This window comes from Homo sapiens, chromosome 13 (assembly GCF_000001405.40).
Source record: "Homo sapiens chromosome 13, GRCh38.p14 Primary Assembly".
NCBI classification, from domain to species: Eukaryota; Metazoa; Chordata; class Mammalia; order Primates; family Hominidae; genus Homo; species Homo sapiens.
Genome location: NC_000013.11, coordinates 19000789 through 19022692, shown reverse-complemented (window position 1 = coordinate 19022692; position 21904 = coordinate 19000789). Strand labels below are relative to the sequence as shown.

Sequence of the window (21904 nt, the reverse complement as noted above, 5' to 3'; positions counted from 1 at the left end):
TTCAGTTCACTGCAGCCTCCACCTCCTGGTTTCAAGTGATTCTCCTGCTTCAGCCTCCTGAGTGGCTGAGGTTACAGGTGCACCTCACCATGCCTGGCTAATTTTTGTATTTTTAGTATAGACAAGCCTTCACCATGTTGGCTAGGTTGGTCTTGTACCAACCTAGTGATCCACCTGCCTTGGCCTCCCAAAGTGCTAGGATTACAGGCATGAACCACCGCACCTGGCCTGACATTTTGTTTTCTGAGCTTTCTATGTGTCAGGTTATGATTAAGTGCTCAGAATTTAGTAGATGTTAGATTTCGAGGTTGTTTCTCTCTTAGTTTAGAATACAAGCTATCACAGGATGACGATGGGAATAAGGGGACACCTGTGGTGATAAATGAGAGGTGTATCTGTGCAGATTTCAACTTGGGTAGAACTTCATTGTTCTGATGAATTTTGGAGACTATTATGAGCTAACATTATTGCTTTGGATTAGTAATTGACTAAATAGTGCCCCAGTTGCTTGCAAGAGTAAATTTAATTTCCCAAAGTGCTAAATTCAGTCCTAGGCTGTAGCTGAGAGAATCAAACTTAATGGAAACCAATGATATTCCTAATAGAGTAGACAGCAAACAAGGTAAACCCCTGCTTATCTTCCTCTCCCTCGATAAACATCATCTACTAAGAGTTTTGTCTGAAATGCAGTAGAAGAGTAAATCAAAGCACATTAAAGTGGGAAATATTACCCTTTTAGCAACAGACTACTTTCAGATTTAAACCCAACTACTGCAAAGTGTTAAGTGTGAGGTCATCTCTGTTCAGGTGTTAAACTTAGATGTGGAGAATATACTGTTTATCTTTGTTTCAAGGCTTTGTCCCCCACCAAAAACAAAACAAAACAAAAAACACCATTTAAAGCAAGTCTTGATAGGTCATCACCAAAAGCTTCCTTGCTAATGCGAGTGGAATTAGCTACCAGATACAAACATTGCATAGAAGCTTGGCTCTCAGAGTTTAGTAAGCAAGCTTTAAGCATTTCCTGTAAATTTTAAGTGATTAATTATAAAAGAGCAGAGCAACTTGGCATCTTAGGTGGAGAGAAGATACTGTATTCTGGTTAAAAATTGTAAGGGGCTTATGGAAATGAGTGACATGGTGTTAGTTATTTTGAAAAGTAAAAGTATATGTTCTCATTTTCTGCGAAAAAATATAATCAGAGGAGAAAAATATTCAACAAACAGGAGTTTTGTTTTTGTTTTTTGTTTTTTTTTTTTCCCTGTTAGAAGAGTGAAGACTGTGTACCCAGGACCTTTCCCCCCCACCACCACAATTTTTAATTGTGGTAAAAATAGATATAGCATAAAATGTATTATCTTAGCCATTTTTAGTTTACCATTCAGTGGCAATAAATACATGTATAATGTTGCAAAGCCGTCACCACCATCTATCTCCATATCTCTTTTCATTTTGCAAAACTGAAACTCTGTACCCGTTAAACAATAACTTTCCATCGTTAAACAATAACTTTCCATCGTTAAACAATAACTTTCCATTCCCTTCTCCCCCAGCCCCTGGTAACCACCATTCTACTTTCTGTCTCTGATTTTGACTAATGTTTTAAGTATCTAATATAAATGGAATCATAAAGCATTTGTTTTTAGTGATTGGCTTCTTTTACTCAGCACAGTGTCCTCAAGTTTCATCCATGTTGTAGATGTGATGGGGTTTTCTTTCTTTTTAGGACGGACAGTCCATTGTCTGTGTAGACCACATTTTGCTTATCTATTCATCTGTCCATGGACGCTTGGATTGCTTCCACATTTTAGATATTGGGAGTTAATACAGCTATAAATAAGGGTGTACAAATAATCTCTAGAAGACCCTGTTTTCAATTCTTTTGAGTATATACTGAGAAGTGCAATTGCTGGATCACATGCTAATTCTATTTTTAATTTGTTCAGGAAACAACGTACTGTTTTCTACAGTAGCTGTACCATTTTACATTCCCACTAACCATGCAGAAGCCTTCCAGTTTCTCCACATCCTTGCCAACACTTGTTATTTTCTATTTTTATTTTATTTTATAGATGCCATCCTAATGGGTGTGGAGTGGTATCTCAATGCAGTTTTGATATACATTTCCCTAATGACTAGTGATAATGAGTATCTTCTCGTGCTTATTGGCCATTTTCTATCTTCTCTGAAGAAATGTTCCTTTAAGACTTTTGCTTATTTTTGTATTAAATTGTTGTTTGTTGTTGAGTTTTAGAAGTTCTTTATATATTCTGGATATTAATCACTTTATTTGCAAATATTTTCTCCCATTCTGTGGGTTGCATTTTTACTTTGTTGATAATGTATTTAGATGCACAAAATTTGTAATTTTCGTGAAGTCCAGTTTGTCTATTTTAAAAATTTTGTTGCCTGTGTTTTTGGTGTCATATTCAAGAAATCATTGCCAAATGCAATGTTGTGAAGTTTTTGCCTTATCTTTTCTTCTAGGAGTTTCATACTTATAGGTTTTACATTTAAGTCTTTGATCCATTTTAACTTTGTATGTGGTATTAGGTAAAGATCCAATTTTATTCTTTTTCATGTTGATATTTAGTTTTCCCAATGCCATATGTTGACAAATGACTTTTTCCCTATTATATGGTCTTGGCGTTCTTGTTGAGAGTCATTTGACCATATATGTAAGTATACATTTCTGGGCTTTCTGTTCTATTTCATTGGTCTATATGTCTGTCTTTATGCCAGTATCACACTGTTTTGATTATTATAACTCTGTATTAAGTTTTGAAATCAGGAAGTGTGAATCTTCCAGCTTTGTTTTTTTTTTTGCAAGATCGTTGTGGTTATTTGGGGTTCCTCGAGATCCCTTATGAATTTTAGAAAAGATATTTCTATTTCTGCAAAAACTCATTGTGATTTTGATGGGAATTGTGTAAATCTGTAGATTGCTTTGGATAGTATTGACATCGTAACCGTATTGTCTTCCAATCCGTGAACGTGGGTTATGTCTCCATTTACTCATGTCTTCCTTATAGTGTTCATTATACAAGTCTTTCACCTCCTTGGTCAAATTAATTCCTAAATATTTTATTCTTTTTTGGGGGGTAAACACTGTGATGAGTAGCGAGCCAAGACTAGAGATCAGATTTCCCAACTATTCGTTCCCACACCTTGACTGTTGCTTAGCCCAGCTGATTCACTAGACTCCAGTCACTAACCCCAAGTTTCTATCAGGTGGGTCAATTTTAAATTATAGGGAAAAAACAGAAAAGAAAATTGGATAACTACTTTGTAGCAAGCTGGATTTTATTCATAGTTAGATTTATCTTTTCTTTGTATTTGCTTGTGTTTGTGAATTCTGTTTCGGTGGAAAGGACCTGTATTAAGTTTTGACCTAGTATCTTAGTAATTGACCTAATGAGATTTGGATTTGGCTGCTCCACTAAATATGATGAACAAATAAAGGTAACTTTTCTCCTTCTGAATTTTCTAAAAACACTTTCCTCACTCAATAATTTTTTCAGTTTTCATGTTTCGTTCACCATGTGAAAGGCTGTGGCCCCAGTGTTATGAGGAGCCCCTTGTCTGAAGCAGCTGCTGCTCATGGAACAGGCAGATCTCTGTACAGGAGCACTCATTTCTAGAGAGCAGTCTTGTCATTGCTGTGAAGGAAAATGCCTAATGCTCAAATCAGGGGCTACTAGGCTTTCCCAGAATTGCCCTTTCTTAGATTTTGTAATTAAATTGAAGAGGCAGTTACTCTGGGCTTAAACTAGGAAATCACATCCTCTGAATTCTGTCTAACTTAATTGAGTCCTGCTGTGTTACTAATCCACATTAATATGGTCTTTTTCCATTAACATAGTTTCCCTGGATGCTGAACATGGAGCCTTACAGTTTCTAGAATGGCTTGGCAGAATTTCTCTTTGGGAATTGGTGAAGATGGGTGAAGTATAGATCCAGGAAGGTGGAGGGTCCCCACAAAAAAAAAGTGCCCTCACGGAGGACTGTGCACTCAGTGTCATCATATACAATGGGCAGCACACACAGGCCCCTGCTATTCCTTTATGAAGGACAGGTTGGGAGGGTCTCTGGCGGTGCTTGCTCACTGGCTGCCAGTCTCTCCCCTGCTCTCTCTGCCTCCCTTATCATCCACACTCACCTTCATGGTGCAGGACATGTTGGCTTTGTTCTTTGACCTCATTTCATTCTGAATTTTTAAAGCTTGATGTAACTGGTTTTACCCCTTCAATTTGAAAAGTTATTTTAGAAATGGAAATAATTATTGCCACATTTTTCTTAGATGTTTAAGATCGTGGTCACCTGCTTTATTTGTAGACATTGCATAGAGATAAATGCTGGGGATGAGGGTGTTTGTTTTTAACCCTAATGTGTTTGTCTGATCTCTGAGTTCTAGGGGTTGTGGAAAAGGAAAGTGGTATAAAGTAAATGACACAATGACAGAAGAATTCAACCTAAATAATGAGATCCTGGAGTGTGACTGCTTTGGTGAAGAATATAGACCAAAAATTTATGATCAAGGTAAGGGTATACAAATGGATAGTTTCCATTAGTTTTGGTTTTTAATTTAGTTTTCTACAAAATTGGAAGTAGGATTCTTTAAATTAAAAATGGAATAGACTTTTTCTAGTGCTGCTGTAGCTATAGAACCATGAGTAGGTGGGGGAGGGGAGGTATACTGGAAGGGGATGAAATGAATATCAAAGAGACACTAATAAAGAAATCTAACCTTAAAAATAGTTTCAGTGGTTGTCCACTAAAATTTTCAAATGTCCTTTTCGCTTATATAGGAGCATAATTAATTAGAGAACATATTTTTAGCACCTGTACTTTTAACACCATTTTCATTCGTGTGGCAAAGCAGTCTTTACCTCCAATCCCCCCACTCCCAGGACAAAAAAAAATGTATCAGGGAAAGTACATCAAAAAACCCAACCACAGTTAGATATTTGAAAGCCATTTTGCAGAGATCTTAGCATTTCTTAGCAAATAATTTTGAGATATTCTAGGGGCATTTAGAAATTTCTACCTGTATTAGATTCACTATATTAGAGTTCTGTATTATGCCACTGTAGTCATGCATTCAGTGCTAATTTTTAAGGGTTAAATAAAGTATCCTTGCCAGAATTCACCCTAATATCAACCTCCAAATGAGGGTTTGATTTTATTGCCAGAACTGAGGTCCCCTACCTTCCACTCTAAGCAGTAACCTACAAAGACCCTCATTTTACTTACACTTTGCATTTAACACATTTACAGAGTAGTTGCTTGCTGGATTCATGGACCCTTTGTTTTAGATTGTCAAGACAAGAAAACCTTTTTCATTAGACTTCTTAATGCTGTGTTGTAAAGCAAACACATACACCTGTGTATGTCAATGATATAATGCCCGCATGCTCTTCCACCAGGGGGGTCTGATGAGAATGCCAGGGATCACCAAAGAAGACTCGAGTCAGCTTTGTACAGCAGAAAGCTGAGGACTTCTCTCTGTAAGTTTCTTTTCAATTGTGAATACAAAATATCTGAGACAGGTCTCAATGTTTGGAAAGTTTATTTTGCCAAGGTTACGGACGTGATACAGCCTATGGAGGTCCTGAGGACATGTTCCCAAGATGGCTGGGGTACAGCTTGCTTTTATACATTGTTGGGAGTTGTGAGACATCAGTCAATATGTTTAAGATGGACATTGGTTTTGTCCAGAAAGGTGGGACAACTCAAAGCATGGCGGGGGGCTTCCAGGTCATAAGTAGATTAAGACAAATGGTTGCATTCTCTTGAGTCTCTGATTAGCCTTTTTCTGAATACACAATTTACATGTGAGAGGAGGGTAGAAGAATCTTCACTTATGCCTTAGTCTGGCTTAGTGAAATGATAGAGCAGAAGAAGCAATGAGATGTGCATTTGTCTCAGGTGAGCAGAGAGATGGCATTGTGTTCTGTTCATCCTTTGCCCACAAGGAAATTCCCTAAGGGCAAATGGTGAGGGAGGTATGTAGCTTCCTTATCTTTGTAGCCATCTTATTTAGTAATAAATTGGGAGGAAGTTTGCTTGATGCAGTTCCCAGCTGTTTTCCCTTTGGATTAGTGAAGATTTATTATTTCATACCATAAACTTGCTCTGTGATTTAGTTGGTGTTAGTGTGATATTTGAGAATATAGTATTTGGGATTTGAAGATAATTAGCTAAGCTAGATAGAAATTCCTAAAATAAGTCTAAAATTAAAATAAATCACTTTTCTTTATTACTGCTTCCTGGTCATTATTTTCTTGGCAATAACTTACTTTGTATTTAGAAACATGCACATAAGTTAATTCCTTCTAGAATTGAGATTTTAAAAAAGTTTACACTTGAGGTTCTTTTAAACATATTGGCATCATTTATTGAATGACACTTCATGTCCAAAACATAGCACTATGTCAACATTCTCAGAATGTTGTTGCTTTTTAAAGACCCTGTGGTCAGTGAATTTGCCTTTTAATATATTGAATCAGGAAAGCATATAATTTACTTTTTCAGGTGAAACTATGTTTAAGTCTGGTTTATTAAGTTTGAAAACTTTGTTCAATAATTATTATAAGACTTTGAATGTGTGGCTCTAAAATGAGTTTATTTCACTGCTCTTGAATGGTCGTAATGACTGGAAAAGATACCTCATAGTTACATGTAGGAAGAATTTATTTTCCTGCTTCCTAAGTTACGGCACTCAGTTTTAAATCCCATATGCCAGTTAAGTTAAAATTTGTCTGCAAATTTTTAATTTTTTATAATGTCACTCAGTTCTCCAAACTAATTGAAAGATACTTTTTAATTATTTAATGAAAACATTATAATTCTATATACTTGATGAGGTACAGTTTGATGTTTTGATACACATACACATTGTATCATGATCAAACAATTTAAGTCTAATACCCTGTTCATGTGAGTTTGGCAAGTTTTAAAACTACTAAAGCAATAGCCACTTTCTGCTAGACAAAGTTTTCTAATCCTGTCTAGTCAGCTCCATCTTCACCAGCAATTTTGTGTCAGTCATCTCCTCGGTCCCATGGGCCTAATAATGCCTGGATGTCTGTTCTAACCAAGCTGATTTTAAAAGGCAAGAAGAAGGGACAATTTGGAGAAAATGCCTGTTGGAATATACCAGGTAAGAATCATGTGAAACATTCTAAAGTGGAGAATTCAGGTAGATGTCAGAGTGTACCTGGTAGATCCAGGCACTCCCGCTGGTCTTTTTCTGGATTAGTTATAGGCTGTAGAGATAGCTGTAGAGCTAGTGCCATGGAGTGCTAAGGACGCAGATGTGAATACACACTCAAGATTGGCCAGCACCATCACAGAGCTGCTGTGTGATGTGAGATGACACCGATAAACAGAGGCATGGGGAGTAGGCAGTAAGGAAATACATTGATGAAATTAACTTACCTGGCGAGAAGAACAAGTGAATGCTCATGATCATTAGGTAATGACTAGTAGGGCGATGATAGACATTACTTATTGTATACCTCCTCTGAGCTACATGCTTTAAGCAAATCTTCAATTCTTAAAAGACTCACGGAGTGGTGGGTTGTTATTTCCATTTTTCAGATGGAAAAACTGCAGGTTCAGAAAAGAAGTGAACAGCTAGTGTCATAGAGCATGCATTTAAATTCAGAACTATACACCCAGTCTAGACTTTATACACTAACTAAACAAAAGCTCAAAAGCAAGAAGCAAGGAATATATATATATGTACATATATATATGTATGTGTATATATGTATGTATGTATGTGTATATGTATGTATGTGTATGTATATGTACACATACATACATATATATACATGCATACATATATATATACACACACACACACACACACACATATATATATATATATATATATATGGCTGAGTGCAGTGGCTCACATCTGTAATCCCACCACTTTGGGAGGCTGAAGTTGAGGTGGAAGGACTGCTAGAGGCCAGGAGTTGGAGATGGAGTTGGGAAAAAAAATAGCCAGTTTTGGTGGTGTGTGCCTATAGTGCCAGCTACTCCAGAGGCTTAGGTGGGCAGGAGTTCAAGGATGCAGTGAGCTGTGATCACACCACTGCAATCCAGCCTGAGTGACAGAGTGACACCTCATCTCAAAAATAATTTAGATAAATAAACAGAGATGTGAGTGGAAAGGTAGAGGAGAGTATGGAGTGAATCCAGGCAGAAACCAGAGCCAGACCTAAAGGTGCCATGTGTGCTGATTGATTTAAGCTCAGGAGCTGTGAGGGCCATGGAAAGACCTTACATGGGGATTGATGTGATCTAGTTGACTTACTAACATAGCTCTAACTAGCAGGGGTGGAGGGGATGGGCAGGAGGGAAAGAGAATAGTTGAAAAGCCCATCAGACTAATCCAGGGAGGAGAGAGCAGGGCCTTGCTGAGGCTCTGGGAGTGAGGATGGAGAGAGAGGCAGGTTAGGGTGAAATGATGTGAAACCATGTGGATGGAGGTGCAGATGCTTCCACGTGCATAGTGGAGTCTTACACTGAGGGAGGAGCAGGTGAGAGAAATGTGAAGGAATCAACAGGACTTGTGCCTTCCTGCATGTGTGGAGTGAGGGAGAGACCTTGGGGATGACTCCTGGGCTTCTAATGTGGGAGAGAGGATGTAGGGAATAGCCCTACAGGGTCTGTGGGTCTTTCTCCCTGTGTGCAGAGATGAGAGATTGTTGAAATAAAGACACAAGACAAAGAGATAGAAGAAAAGACAGCTGGGCCTGGGACCACTACCACCAAGATGTGGAGACCGGTAGTGGCCCCGAATGCCTGGCTGCGCTGATATTTATTGGATTCAAAGTAAAAGGGGCAGGGTAAAGAGTGTGAGCCATGTCCAATGATTGATAAGGTCATGTGAATCACGTGTCCACTGGACAGGGGGCCCTTCCCTATTAGGTAGCTGAGGCGGAGAGAGAGGACAGCTTACGTCATTATTTCTTTATGCTCTTCTCAGAAAGATCAAAGACTTTAATACTTTCACTAATTTTGCTACTGCTATCTATAGAGCAGAGCCAGGTGTATGGAGTGGAACATGAAAGTGAAACGGGAGGACCGCTGAAGCACAGCATCACAGGGAGACGGTTAGGCCTCCGGATAACTGTGGGTGGGCCTGACTGATGTCAAGCCCTCCACAAGAGGTGGTGGAGCAGAGTCTTCTCTAACTCCTCCAGGGAAAGGGAGACTCCCTTTCCCGGTCTGCTAAGTAGTGGGTGCTTTTCCTTGGCACTGATGCTACCGCTAGATCACAGTCTGCTAGGTAATGGGCACCTTCCCAGACGCTGACGTTACTGCTAGACCAAGGATCCCTCTGATGGCCCCGTCTGGGCATAACAGAAGGCTCACGCTCTTGTCTTCTGGTCACTTCTAACCATGTCCCTTCAGCTCCTATCTCTGTATGGCCTGGTTTTTCCTAGGTTATGATTGTAGAGTGAAGATTGTTATAATATTGGAATAAAGACTAATTTTTACAAACTAATCATTAATGATACTCACATATAATCATATCTATGATCTACATCTAGTATACCTATTCTTATTTTATATATTTTCTTTATTATACTGGAACAGCTCGTGCCCTCGGTCTCTTGCCTCGGCACCTGGGTGGCTTGCTGCCCACAAGAGGATGACTGTGGTGCCTTGTGCTGAGACATAAGACCTTCTAGAGTAGCAGAGGGTGCGGAAGAAGGTACAGGGTAACCTGGCTTTCCACCTAGTGCATGTGAGGTGCCTGTGGATTGTCCAGGGAAGGGATATGGGAGGTGGTTTTGTGCGTGGTTCTGAAGCTTCATTTAAGGAGCTGATGTGACAGGCCCAGATATGACCGCCCATGGAGCACGTGCAGTGATGAGAAAGGAGGACAGGGCTGCCTCATCAGGGGAACACCATGGGCCCAGAGGCTTCTACAACCCTGAGCTTTCCAAAGGTGTATGAGATCAGAAGCCTGAGTAGAAACCTTCAGCTTGTTAGAAAGAAACCAAAATACCAACAAAACCATAACACAACAATCCTGCAAAATACAGTTATATTTCAAAAGCAAAATTAGAAAATGCTACTCAACCTCTCATTTCTACAGTGAAAATGTTTCATGAGATGTGAATGCTTTTTAATATATTTAATGCATCTGATGTGATGTAGGTGAGGCCCCCTCCAAAGACATTGCTCCTAAAGTCTATAAAAGGAGGTAGGGTGTGAGAAGGTATCTTCTCCTTTAATGAGACGCACACTCCACCTTCCGCAGTCCCCAGGGCTCTCCTTTTTTTCAGGGCGCATCCCCCCTCTCTGGTATTTCCTCCATCCTGCCAGGCCCCTCACCCTTGCAGAGGGCATTCATGTGATGCTGCATGTAGTGTTTGTGGGTCTGTAGCACTTTGAAGTGCAGTTCCCACAAGATCTGGTTCTGATGGACCTCATCCGGGGTTGTCCTCTCTGGTTCCCACAAGATCTGTTCCTGATGAGCCTCATCTGGGTTCACCTTCTCCCTCATGTGTCTCACTGTGGCCTCTGTGCTGCTTGGTCTGCTCAGGCAGTTCTCACAAGATCTAGTTCTGATGAGCCTCATCTGTGGTCGCCTTCTGCAGTTCTCACAAGATCGGAACCCGATGAGCCTTATCTGGGTTCGCCTTCTCCCTCAGGTGTCTCACCGTGGCCTCTGTGCTGCTTGGTCTGGTCAGGTAGTTCTCACAAGATCTAGTTCTGATGAACCTCATCCAGGGTCACCTCCCTGGGGTGTCCCTCTGTGGCCTCCATACTTCTTGGTCTGGTTTGACAGTTCCCACAATATCTGGTTCCGATGGACCTCATCTGGGGTCACCTTTTCCCTCAGGTGTCCCATTGTGGCCTCCATGCAGCTTGGTCCGATCAGGAGCACTCTGGGTGTTCTCTCGCTGCCTGCCTGCTCCTGGTCCTTCTGCCAACTCTAGGCAATGGCATCCCATGCTGTCTCCTGGCAAGTATCCCCTCATCCTGCTGGAGTAGATTTTGGTGTTGTCACCCATTCCCCTACTGTCACCCACCCTGCCCAGTCCCCTCCCACCTCTCAGGATCTTATTTCACACCCACCTTCTTCCAGTGCTTAACTCACCTGCCTGTGCTTCTCAGCACCTGCCTGATCACTGGAACCGCCCCTGGACACCGCCCAGAAAGGACTCACAGCCAAGTGGCAGGCCAGGAGGTAGTGGACATACGATTGAAACTCATCTTGGCCAATCATTCCCTAAAAGAGATTTTGTAAGGGGTCAGAAGCCTCTCCCCACTTAAAAGCAGATGTCCAGAATCCAAACTCTGTGTGTATCTCAGAAAACTGGAGGTTTTCTATATCAGAGAAGATTCTGGCCTATGTGGCAGATATCACCAATGTGATAATGTAGATGGAATAGCTCTCTCCCATTCTAAGTAACATAGTGACTTTAGAGTTTTTTGAATGTTTGTTGTAAACTACACATAAAATGTACCTTCTTAGGCATTCTTAAGTATATAGTACAATAGTGTTAAGTATATTCACGTTGTGTGAAACCGGTCTCCAGAACGTTTTCTTTCACACACGTTGAACAACTCTCCATTTCCCTGTCTCTCCAGCTCCTGGCAGCCACCATTTTACCTTTTGTTCCTATGAATGACTCTTCTAGATGCTTAATGTAATACAGTTTACTTTAAAAGAACCAAAAGTATGCCTAGCATTGAGAAATTAGCCACCCCCTGGATTTAGCGAGCACCTAAACACTGACTGTAAAGCCTGTGCTCTTCCCCACCATGTGTTCATTCATTCATTTGGGACACAGGGTGCTTCAGGATGCGTTTGGGTGTCTGGGAGACAGTGTTGAATGTGTTTTACTATTGATTGGGTGTCTATTCTCTATTAGTTTGTTGGAGTTTATTATTTTGGGAATTGTGTGTGCTACATCTTTTCTCTCTTTGTGGCTTGCCTTTTTAGTCTCTTAATGCTGTCTTTTTGAGACCAAAAATTTAAGTGCGGTCTAATGTATTAGTCTTTCCCTTTATGGTTATTGTTTCATAAATGCCATTCATGACATCTTTTCCTAATTTGATGTCCTGAAGATGTATTTCTGTGTTACCTTCTAGATCACTGCCGTCTAAGAAAAATTATGAAGTGAGACACATATTATCTAGACTAAGTATTATCTAGTATCCATATTGAGAGAGAAAAGGGAATCCAATAAAGCTAAGTTTAATAATGTTTTATTTAACTCAGTATATACAAATTGTTATAATTTCAAACTTTGAATATAAAAAGTATTGAGATATGTAGCATTGGTTTTTCCTGCTGTTTAACATTCCAATGCAAGTTTTCCGCTTATTGGCACATCTCAAGTGTTCAGTAACCATGCATGGGCAGAGCAATAGTGGAATATTTATTGCTTTTACTGTTTCATATTAGACCTGTGTTCTACCTAACTGATTTTTGAGTGTAGTGTGAAGTGGGAATCTCACTTGATTTTTTTTTTTTTCCAAATGAGTATCCAACTGACCCAGCACCAATTGCTTGAAAAGACAGTCCTGTCCCCACTGTTCTGTCGGCTGCAGGAGTCTTAAAGAAAGTGTCCACATGTGTGTGAGTCTCTTTCTGGTCTCAATTCTGTGCCATTTGTCTACTTGTCTATGCTTTTACCACTCCTATGCTATCTTAATTACTATAATTTTCATAAGTTCTGATTATCTGGTAGGGAAAAATGTCTTTTTAGGAGAGTGTTGGCTAACCTTGACTTTTTGCATTTCCATATAAATTTCAGTTGTCAAGTTCTCAAAAATATAGTGGAATTTTGATTGAGATTCTAGATGTTGAATCTAGATAACCGAATGGAAGAAGGGCCTTTTTTAAGCATCATCAGTTCATGTGCTGCAGGCACCTGAGTGGGATCCGGACGTGCTCTTGCTTTCAGACTCTGCTTCCCTCCCCATTGTGAGGTAGCAGCAGCTGATGAAAGAGGCTCAGCCCTTAGTGCTGTGATAAGAGCACAGTGGAGGGCCCCACCCCCTACTGCAGGAGACATTTCTCAAAGACAGAATGTCCCTACCATGGTTCTAGAATCCTAGGGTGAATACAAATAAATTCTGGGATAAGCCAGGCAGCAAAAACATAAACAAAACCATAACTGAGTTTCCACCGGTAGCGGGGGCCTTGTGCCCTGTGAGCTCTCAAGGAGTCATTGTTCTTGCACTCACTTGAACCCAGGGCAGGACTTACCCTCCTTGAGAACAGGTTAGGTGCTTCCCACTCCACACTCCCCTCTGCCTTCTCTGTCACTGGCCCTGTGGTTTGCTTTGTGGCTGTAGACCGAGTTCCATGGAGAAGCCAGGAACAAATGTAGAGGCTCATGCAGGCTGGCTGATGAGGCAGGGGAGGAAAGGAGCAGACTGTTTAGAGAGAGAAAATTGTTAGAGGTATCTCTGTTCTCTGAAGAGGATTAACAGGATGGGAATAAAGGCAAAATACAGGTGACAGTAGGGTGACCAGGACCTGGCCATGGAAAAGGGCTCTTGTGACTTACTGAGGCTGAATGCTGGTTTGCCATCGTCTTGCATTTCCTTTGTCCACGAGGTCAGACTGCTGGGAATCCACAGTCCTGGCCATCCTGAACTGTTCCAGAACTGCCCCGGGAGCAGGGAAACCATCTCCAAGATGAGACTTGTGAACCATAAGGTCTGGTTGGGGATGGCAGGGCTGGGGGCTGGGGACTAGAGTACAGGGTACTAGAAAGAAGTAGGGCTAAGGAGGAGGGGTAGAGGCATAGGTAGAGGAGTCCCAGGAAACAGCTCTGGGACGACAGCATTTGCAAGTAGGGCTGGGAGGAGGAGTAGGGGGACAGACAGGGTAGTCACAGAAAAGAGTTCTGGGACCAGAGCGTTGGCAAGGAGGGCTAGGAGGAGGAACAGGAGAACGGATAAGGGAATCACAGGGAAGAGTTCTGGGACCCAAGCGTTGACCAGTAGGGCTAGAAGGAGGGCTAGGGTGATCGATAAGGGAGTTACCAGAAAGAGTTCTGGGACTAGAGCATTGACAAATGGATGGTTTGTAATGAATAGCAGAAGAGCAGTGCAGGTAGAGTATTAGGGTAGGGTAGTGGGGAGGGCAGGTATGAGCCACAGTGGGATAACAGTTAGGGCAGAAAACTGAAAAATCCACGTACTTCTGGAGAGGAGGAAGGGGCTTGGCAGATGGAAGAAGAGGGAGGGATTCGCGGGCACGAGAGTGGGATGGCTTACGAGAGTGGGATGTGTTAGGAGGGCAGGATGGATTAGGAGGGTGTGGAATCATAAAACCAGGTACTGAGTGGGGTGGAAATTGAGATATTGGAGGGAGCTTTCCTGTCATTTCTTCCAATGAGAATTCTAGTGAATCACTTCTCCCAGTGAGTCCAGATGAGGAACTGGGAGGTGCCCAGACCTACCCCAGCATTTATAACATGCCCACCCCTTGCATCATACCATGTTTGAATGCCCATTATGATGCCTGTGTGCCCCTGTCTTTTGGTCTAGGGAGAGGGCCCCACCAACCAGAGAAAGGGTCCCAGTTTCTAGATGTAAGAGTGATCATGGGAAATGGCAAAGAGAAGAAATAAGGCCTGTAATATTTGTCCCTTTTCTGGGGATACCGTGTAGTTATGCCCCTCAGTAGGCAAAGTTTGATCAAAGGGCCAAGATGGAGTTAGGGGCTGGGGGCCTAGGAGAGTGGTTCTGAAGCAGGACTTGGGAAAATGGGAAGAAGTCAGTGCCCCAGTCTTTCACTTACTATGATTTTCAAAGCACTTTCACATCATTTATACTGCTGCATGAATATATGTGATTAGAGGAGCGATGCTGTATTCATTGGCTCAATGAGGACACTGAAGACCGGAGAGGAAGCTGCCATAAACAGGCAGTGGGTGACAAAGCAAGTGGGACTAGAACTTGGGCCAAAAGGAGGGGCAGGTGGGAGGCAGCCAAAAATAGCCCAGAATGCTGACCAGTGGCCTCCCTTCCTCCTGGCTCTCTAGACAGGATCCTACCTGCAGGCGGTGCTTCAGAGCACAGCTTTACTGTTCGTAGTAACCTCTTGATCCCTGTGCCACTGTGGTTTTATGCCTTACTCTTAGTGGGAACCATAAACATAGTTCTAAGGAGGCTGGGAGGTCTGGACTGGGTAGAATTCTCCCCAGTATGGCAAAGCGGCTGTGGCCAGACTACTTCTCTAGATTCCTCCTCAATGGACAAGGCATCCCTGAAGGAAAGGCCCCAGTCAGGGGCTTAGGGATAAAACTCATCTTCCTAGGACAGAGCACCTGGGGGAAGGAGCAGCTGTGGGCGCAGCTTCAGTGGATTTAAACTTTCCTGCCTGCCAGCTCTGAAGACAGCAGCTGATCCTGACAAGTGGGATTCTCCCAGCACAGTGCACCAGCTCTGCTATGGGACAGACTGCCTCAAGTGGGTCCCTGACCCCCAAGCGTCCTGACTGGGAGAGACCTCCCAACAGGGGTCGACAGACACCTCATACAGGAGAGCTCTGGCTGGCATCAGGCCAGTGCCCCTCTGAGATGAAGCATCCAGAGGAAGGAGCAGGCAGCAATCTTTGCTGTTCTTCAGCCTCCACTGTTGATACCCAGGTGGGCAGGGTCTGGAGTGGACCTCCAGCAAACTGCAGCAGACCTGCAGAAGAGGGGCCTGTTAGAAGAAAAACTAAGAAACAGAAAGCAACAATATCAACATCAACAACAACAACAACAACAACAACAAAAAACCCACAGAGAAACCTCATCCAAAGACCATCAGCATCAAAGATCAAAGGTAGATAAATCCATGAAGATGAAGATAAAATAGCAGAAAACGCTGAAAATTCCAAAACCAGAATGCCTCTTCTCCTCAAATGATCGCAGTTCCTTTCCAGCAAAGGCACAAAACTGGACAGAGAATGAGACTGACTAATTGACAGAAGTAGGCTTCAGAAGGTGGGAAATAACAAACTCCTCTGTGCTAAAGGAGCGTGTACTAACCAAATGCAAGGAAGCTAAGAACCTTGATAAAAGGTTACAGGAACTGCAATCTAGAATAACCAGTTTATAGAGGAACATAAATGACGGGATGGAACTGAAAAAAACCAGCACAGGAACTTCGTGAAGCATACACAAGTACCAACAGCCGAATCTGTCAAGTGGAAGAAAGGATATCAGTGATTGAATATCACCTTACTGAAATAAGGCATGAAGACAAGATTAGAGAAAAAAGAATGAAAAGGAATGAACAAAGCCTCCAAGAAATACGGGACTATGTGAAAAGGCCAAACCTACAATTGATTGGTGTACCTGAAAGTGTTGGGGAGAATGGAACCAAGTTGGAAAACACACTTCAGGATATTATACTGGAGAACTTCCCCAACCTAGCCAGACGGGCTAACATTTAAATTCAGGAAATAGAACCACTGTTAAGATACTCCCTCGAGAAGAGCAACCCCAAGTCACATAATCGTCAGATTCTCCAAAGTTGAAATGAAGGAAAAAATGTTAAGGGTAGCCAGAGAGAAAGATCAGATTACCTACAAAAGGAAGTCCATCAGACTAACAGCAGATTTCTCTGCAGAAACCCTACAAGCCAGAAGAGAATGGGGGCCAATATCCAACATTCTTAAAGAAAAGAATTTTCGTCCCAGAATTTCATATCCAGCCAAACTAAGCTTCCTAAGGAAAGGAGAAATAAAATGCTTTTTAAACAAGCAAATGCTGAGGGATTTTGTCGCCACCAGACCTGCCTTACAAGAACTTTTGAAGGAAGCACTAAATATAGAAAGGAAAAACCGGTAGGAGCCACTGCAAAAACACACCAAAATATAAAGACCAAGGAAACTATGAAGAAACTGCATCAACTAATGTTCAAAATAACCAGCTAGCATCATGATGACAGGATCAGATTCACACATGACACTATTAACCTTAAATGTAAATGTGCTAAATGCCCCAATTAAAAGATACAGACTGGCAAATTGGGTAAAGGGTCAAGACCCATCGGTGTGTTGTATTCATTCAGGAGACCATCTCACGTACAGAGACACACATAGGCTCAAAAGAAAGGGATCAGGGAATATTTACCAAGCAAATGGAAAGCAAAAAAAAAAGCAGGAGTTGCAATCCTAGTCTCTGCTAAAACAGACTTTAAACCAACAAAGATCAAAAAAGACAAGGTCATTACATAATTTTTGTAAAGACATGAATGAAACAAGAAGAGGTAACTATCCTAAATGTATATGCACCCGCCCAATATGGGAGCACTCAGCTTCATAAAAGAAGTTCTTAGAGATCTACGAAGAGACTTGGACTCCCACACAATAACAGTGGGAGGCTTTAACACCCCACTGTCAATATTAGGCAGATCAAGGAGACAGGAATATTAACAAGGATATTCAGGACTTGAACTCAGCTCTGAACCAAGCAGACCTAATAGACGTCTACAGAACTCTCCACCCCAAATCAACAGAATATACATTCTTCCCAGCGCCGCATAGACTTACTCTAAAATTGACCACATAATTGGAAGTAAAACACTCTTCAGCAAATGAACGGAAATCATACACAGTCTTTCAGGCCAAAGTGCAATCAAATTAGAACTCAGGGTTAAGAAACTCACTCAAAACCACAACCTGCTCCTGAATGACTACTGGGTAAATAACAAAATTAAGACAGAAATAAAGAAGTTATTTGAAACCAGTGAGAACAGACAACGTACCAGAATCTCCGGGACACAACTAAAGCAGTGTTAAGAGGGAAATCAGAAAGCTGGAAAGATCTGATATCAACACCCTGACATTGCAATTAAAAGAACTGGAGAAGCAAATTCAAAAGCTAGCAGAAGACAAGAAATAACTAAGATCAGAGCAGAACTGAAGGAGATAGAAACACAAAAAACCCTTCAAAAAAAAAAAAATCTATGAATCCAGGAACTGGTATGTTGAAAAGATTAACAAAATAGACAGACTGCTGGCTAGACTAATAAGAAAAGAGAGATCAATCAAATAGACACAAGAAAAAATGATAAAGGGGATATCACCACCGATCCCACAGAAATACAAGCTACCATCAGAGAGTACTATAAACACCTCAATGCAAATAAAACTAGAAAATCTAGAAGAAATGGATAAATTCCTGTACACATACACGCTCCCAAGCCATAACCAGGGAGAAGTCAAATCCCTGAATAGACCAATAACAAGTTTTGAAATCGAGGCTGTAATTAATAGCCTAGAAATGAAAAAAAACCCAGGACCAGTCGGATTTACAGCCAAATTCTACCAGACGTACAGAGGAGCTGGTACCATTCCTTGTGAAACTATTCCAAACAATAGAAAAAGAAGGACTCCTCCCCAACTCATTTTATGGGGCCAGCATCATCCTGATACCAAAACCTGTCAGAGACACAACAAAAAAAATCTCAGGCAGATATCCCTGATGAACACTGATGCAAAAATTCTCAATGAAATACTGCCAAAATGAATCCAGCAGCACATCAAAAAGCTTATCCACCATGATGAAGTTGGCTTCATACCTGGGATGCAAGGCTGGTTCAATATACGCAAATCAATAAACGTAATCCATCACATAAACAGAACCAATGACAAAAACCACATGATTATCTCAATAGATGCAGAAGAGGCCTTTGATAAAATTCAACATTCCCTCATGTTAAAAACTCTCAGTAAACTAGGTATTGATGAAACATAACTCAAAATAACAAGAGCTATTTAAAGCAAACCCATAGCCAATATCACACGGAATAGGCAAACGCTGGAAGCATTCCCTTTGAAAACTGGCACAAGACAAGGATGCCCTCTCTCATCACCCCTATTCACCATAGAATAGGAAGTTCTGGGCAGGGCAGTCAGGCAAGAGAAAGAAATAAAGGGTATTGAAATAGGAGGAAAGGAAGTCAAATTGTCTCTGTTTGCAGATGACATGATTATATATTTAGAAAACTTCATCATCTCAGCCCCAAAACTCCTTAAGCTGATAAGCAACTTCAGCAAAGTCTAACAAAATCAATTTGCAAAAATCTCGAGCATTCCTATGCCCCAATAATAGACAAGCAGAGAGCCAAATTATGAGTGAACTCCCATTCACAATTGGTACAAAGAGAATAGAATACCTAGGAATACAACTTACAAGGGAAATGAAGCACCTCTTCAAAGAGAACTACAAACAACTGCTCAAATAAATAAAAGAGGACGTAAACAAATGGAAAAACATTCCATGTTCATGGATAGGAAGAATCAATATGTGAAAATGGCCATACTGCCTAAAGTAGTTTATAAATTCAGTGCTTTTGCCATTAAGCTACCTTTGACTTTCTTTGAAGAATTAGAAAAAAACTACTTTAAATTTCATATGGAACCAAGAAAGAGCTCATATAGCCAAGACAGTCCTAAGCAAAAAGAACAAAGCTGAAGGCTTGCACTACCTGATTTCAAACTATACTACAAGGCTACAGTAACCAAAGCAGCATGGTACTGGTACCAAAACAGATACATCGACCAATGGAACAAAACAGAGACCTCAAAAATAACACCACACATCTATAACCATCTGATCTTCAACAAATCTGACAAAAAGCAGCAATATGGAAGGAATTCCCTATTTAATAAGTGGTGGTGGAAAAACAGGTTAGCCATAGGCAGAAAACAGAAACTGGGCCACTTCCTTACACCTTATACAGAAATTAACTCAAGATTGATTAAAGACTTAAAAGTAAGATCCAAAACCAAAAAAAAAAACAAAAAACAAAAAACAAACAAAAACCCTAGAGGAAAACCTAGGCAATACCGTTCAGGGCATAGGTATGGGCAAAGACTTCATGACTAAAACACCAAAAGCAATTGCAACAAAAGCCAAAATTGGCAAATGGGATCTAATTAAACTAATGAACTTCTGTACAGCAAAAGAAACTATCATCAGAGTGAACAGACAGCCTACAGAATGGGGGAAAATTTTTTGCAATCTCCCTATCTGACAAAGGCCTAGTATCCAGAATCTACAAGGAACTTAAACAAATTTACAAGAAAAAAACAATCAAAAAGTGAGTGAAGGATATTAACGGACACTTCTCAAAAGAAGACATTTATGTGGCCAACAAACGTGAAAAAAAGCTCATCATCACTGGTCATTAGAGAAATGCAAATCAAAACCACAATGAGATACCATCTCACGCCAGTTAGAATAGCGATCATTAAAAAGTCAGGAAACAACAGCATTTCCTTGTAGTGAAAACATAAAGTCTTTTCTTTGAGTTATTGTGAAGTTTTTCTCATATATTCGGAGCAAAATTCCTCTTTGTTATATGCATAGTTTGTGTTTTGTCACCAAAATTCATCACCTACATTCAAGTCCCTTTCATTCCTCAAGAATTATCCCACTTCTGAAATCACTGATGCAGACATGCTCTTCTCTGACCCTCACCTCATGTCCTTAGAGTATAATCACTTAACTGCTCTCGCTTCACTGGGACCTCCAACTCACTGAACATTTTTGTGTTTTTGAGACAGGGTCTTACTTTGTGACCCAGGCTGGAGTCAAGAATTGAGGTTTGGGAACCTCCCCCTAGGTTTTAGAGGATGTATGGAAACGCCTGGTTGTCTAGGCAGAGGTTTGCTGCCGGGGCAGGGCCCTCATTGAGAACCTCTGCTAGGGCAGTGTGGAAGGGAAATACGGGATTGAAGCACCCACAAATAGTCCCCACTGGGGCACTGCTTAGTGGAGCTGTAAGAAGAAGGCCACCATCCTCCAGAGTCCAGAATGGTAGATCTCCCAACAGCATGCCCTGCGCACCTGGAAAAGCTGCAGACACTCAACACCAACCCATAAAAGCAGCTGGGAGGGAGGTTGTACCCTGCAAAGCCACAGGGGCAGAGCTTCCCAAGACCCTGGCAACTCTTGCATCAGTGTGACCTGGATGTGATACATGCAGTCAAAGGATATCATTTTGAATCTTGAAGATTTGAATGCCCCACTGGATTTTAGACTTGCATGGGGCCTGGAGCCCCTTGTTTTGGCCAATTTCTCCCATTTTGGAATGGGGATATTTTCCCAATGCCTATACCCCCATTGTATCTAGGAAGTAACTAACTTGGTTTTGATTTTACAGGCTCATAGGTGGAAGGGTCTTGCCTTGTCTCAGATAAGACTTTGGACTGTGGACATTTGAGTTAATGCTAAAATGAGTTAAGATTTTGGGGGACTGTTGGCAAGGCATGATTAGTTTTGACATGTGAGGACATGATATTTGGGAAGGGCCAGGGGTGAAATGATATGGTTTGGCTGTGTCCCTACCCAAATCTCACCTTGAATTGTAGCTTCCATGATTCCCATGTGTTGTGGGAGTGATCCGGTGGGAGTTAATTGAATCATGGGGTGGTTTTTCCCATACTGTTCTCCTGGTAGTAAATACGTCTCATGAGATCAGTGGTTTTATAAGCTGTTTCCCCTTTTGCTTTGCTCCCATGCTCTCTTGCCTGCTGCCATGTAAGAAGTGCCTTTCACGGCTGGGCGTCGTGGCTCACGCCTGTAATCTCAGCACTTTGGGAGGCCGAGGTGGGTGGATCATGAGGTCAGGAGATCGAGACCATCCTGGCTAACATGGTGAAACCCTGTCTCTAATAAAAAATTACAAAAAATTAGCCAGGCGTGGTGGTGGGTGCCTGTTGTCCCAGCTACTTGGGAGGCTGAGGCAGGAGAATGGCGTGAACCCGGGAGGCGGAGCTTACAGTGAGCCGAGATCGCATCACTGCACTCCAGCCTGGGTGACAGAGCGAGGCTCCATCTCAAAAAAAAAAAAAAGAAAAGAGAGAAGTGCCTTTCACCTTCCACCATGATTGTGAGGCCTTCCAAGC

The 21904-nt window shown here is 41.6% G+C and overlaps 1 long non-coding RNA gene and 1 pseudogene across 1 annotated transcript; one reads left to right on the top strand and one right to left on the bottom strand.

The window, feature by feature from the left end:
* Positions 3357-7206, top strand: USP24P1 (ubiquitin specific peptidase 24 pseudogene 1; annotated as a pseudogene).
* On the bottom strand, positions 10059-14434 carry LINC00442 (long intergenic non-protein coding RNA 442). Its single transcript, NR_026852.1, has 4 exons — positions 13554-14434; positions 13250-13419; positions 11129-11260; positions 10059-11013 (listed from the first exon to the last, which is right to left on the bottom strand). It is a non-coding gene; the product is annotated as a long intergenic non-protein coding RNA 442 (long non-coding RNA).
* Positions 14435-21904: the final 7470 nt, after the last annotated feature.